The sequence below is a fragment of the Homo sapiens genome, chromosome 2 (assembly GCF_000001405.40).
Source record: "Homo sapiens chromosome 2, GRCh38.p14 Primary Assembly".
NCBI lineage: Eukaryota > Metazoa > Chordata > Mammalia > Primates > Hominidae > Homo > Homo sapiens.
The window spans coordinates 187,615,294-187,616,964 of NC_000002.12; the positions used below are offsets into that span (position 1 = coordinate 187,615,294).

General features: G+C 36.0%; 1 annotated feature.

Annotated features, from left to right (window-relative positions):
• Window positions 520-1,070: an enhancer, noted in NCBI's record as "OCT4-NANOG hESC enhancer chr2:188480540-188481090 (GRCh37/hg19 assembly coordinates)". NCBI's record gives its function as "activates a minimal SCP1, AML or CMV promoter by ChIP-STARR-seq in naive H9 embryonic stem cells {active_cell/tissue: H9 hESC(naive)}" and the evidence as "EXISTENCE:reporter gene assay evidence [ECO:0000049][PMID:30033119]".

The window sequence follows — 1,671 nt, forward strand, 5'->3', positions numbered from 1 at the left end:
CAAACATCTAAAGCAGAGAACTTACAGTATAAAGTATATCACTGTGTTCTCTGTTTGAAGGGAAAGTTGATGCCCACAAAATAACCATAACATCATGAAGGCTTATTGGGGCCAGGAGGGACACCTACCTCTCTGTACTTGGGTCACACACCCATGGTGTCAGAGGGCAGAGTTGGAAGAGGAAGTCGTATGGACATAACCATGAGCATGTTGGAAACAGCTGTGGAAGCACTTCTTGGGAGACTTCTGCTGGTCAGATACCACAGTCTGCTTCTTATGGGAATTCTGCCATTCACGTTGCAAGTACTTCCACTATAGTAATGAAGTGACCTTAAGTAAACCACTAGTGACTAACGAGAGTAGCAGAGCAGAGTGGTTATAAGCACAATAACTAGAGAGGTTTCCTGATTAATTACATCATAAAGACCCATTTTCCCTATTTTGGAAACCGAGGTTCATAATACTTCTCTCAGGGTTCTGTGTGGGTTAAACAAATTAGATAACAAATGTAATATTCTTTAGTTAGTGTTTGCCACTTGGGGTCATTGTGTAAACACACGTGTGCTTGGGATCCACATGATCTGTTTTCTTTGCAGATTGAGTCTGTTCATATGAATTTTGAAAGAAGTTCCTGAGAGATTTTGTGAACATATGCATAATGAAGGAAAGCATAAAGGTGCAGAGGTCACAAAAGTGAACACTTTTTTACCTCTCCTTCCTGTGCCCACTGTTAAGACTTTTGCATGTCAAAGGAAAACAATGATTTAGATCACTCAACCTTTTTGTTTGAGACCATTGCATTTCCTTGTGTGCTGTTGCTGGCACAGCGATCCTTCTGACTTTGCAGCATTGCTCTGAAGTACTCTCAGTTAACAACCATCTATCAATGTGATGGTTATTGGTTTGTAACTATTGGCTATTTTACCACTCCCTAGTTCTGGACTTGACTCTAATTCCTTTTCTGTCCTTTAACATTCACCTAGCCAAAGGATGGATTCTTTAACATCTTATCACACATTAATGAGTTCTATACCTCCTCATTAATAAGTCAACACTGATTCCCAGATCAGCAAAGAATTCCAGCTTTTAAATTTATGTATAATGAATGCGTGTATAATTTAAAAATATTAGATACCAATATTTTTAAAGAAAACAGAAAATACTATAGATTAGATGTATTGCAAACTATAAAATATGCTTGCAGTCAGCTTAGAAAAAGATGAAACTTTAAGAGGTGAATTTTAAAGATTATGTGGTACAGTTCAGTTTAATGGCTCTCTAGTTTTACTTACTAAAATATGAGTAAGTTTTATTTCATTATGATATTCAATGACTGTGAACATTAAAATTTCTCTCAAAAATGTTACTCTTAAATAATAGCAAATAATATTAAATATAAAGACATACTGCAAAGGCATAGTATGTGGTAACAGTAAGGAAGACTGAGTGTCTTAGTGAGGGGTATGTCATAAAATCAAATGTTATCCACAATTAAATCTAACAAAAGACCCCTAAGCTAAAAACTACAAAACAATGCCGAAAGAAACCTAAAAGACCTAAGTAAATGGAGATATACACCAAGTTCATGGATTAAAAGTATCAATTCATGCAAAGATGGATCAATTAAGGAGAACAGAGTCAAAGTACATACATACACACACACACACACAC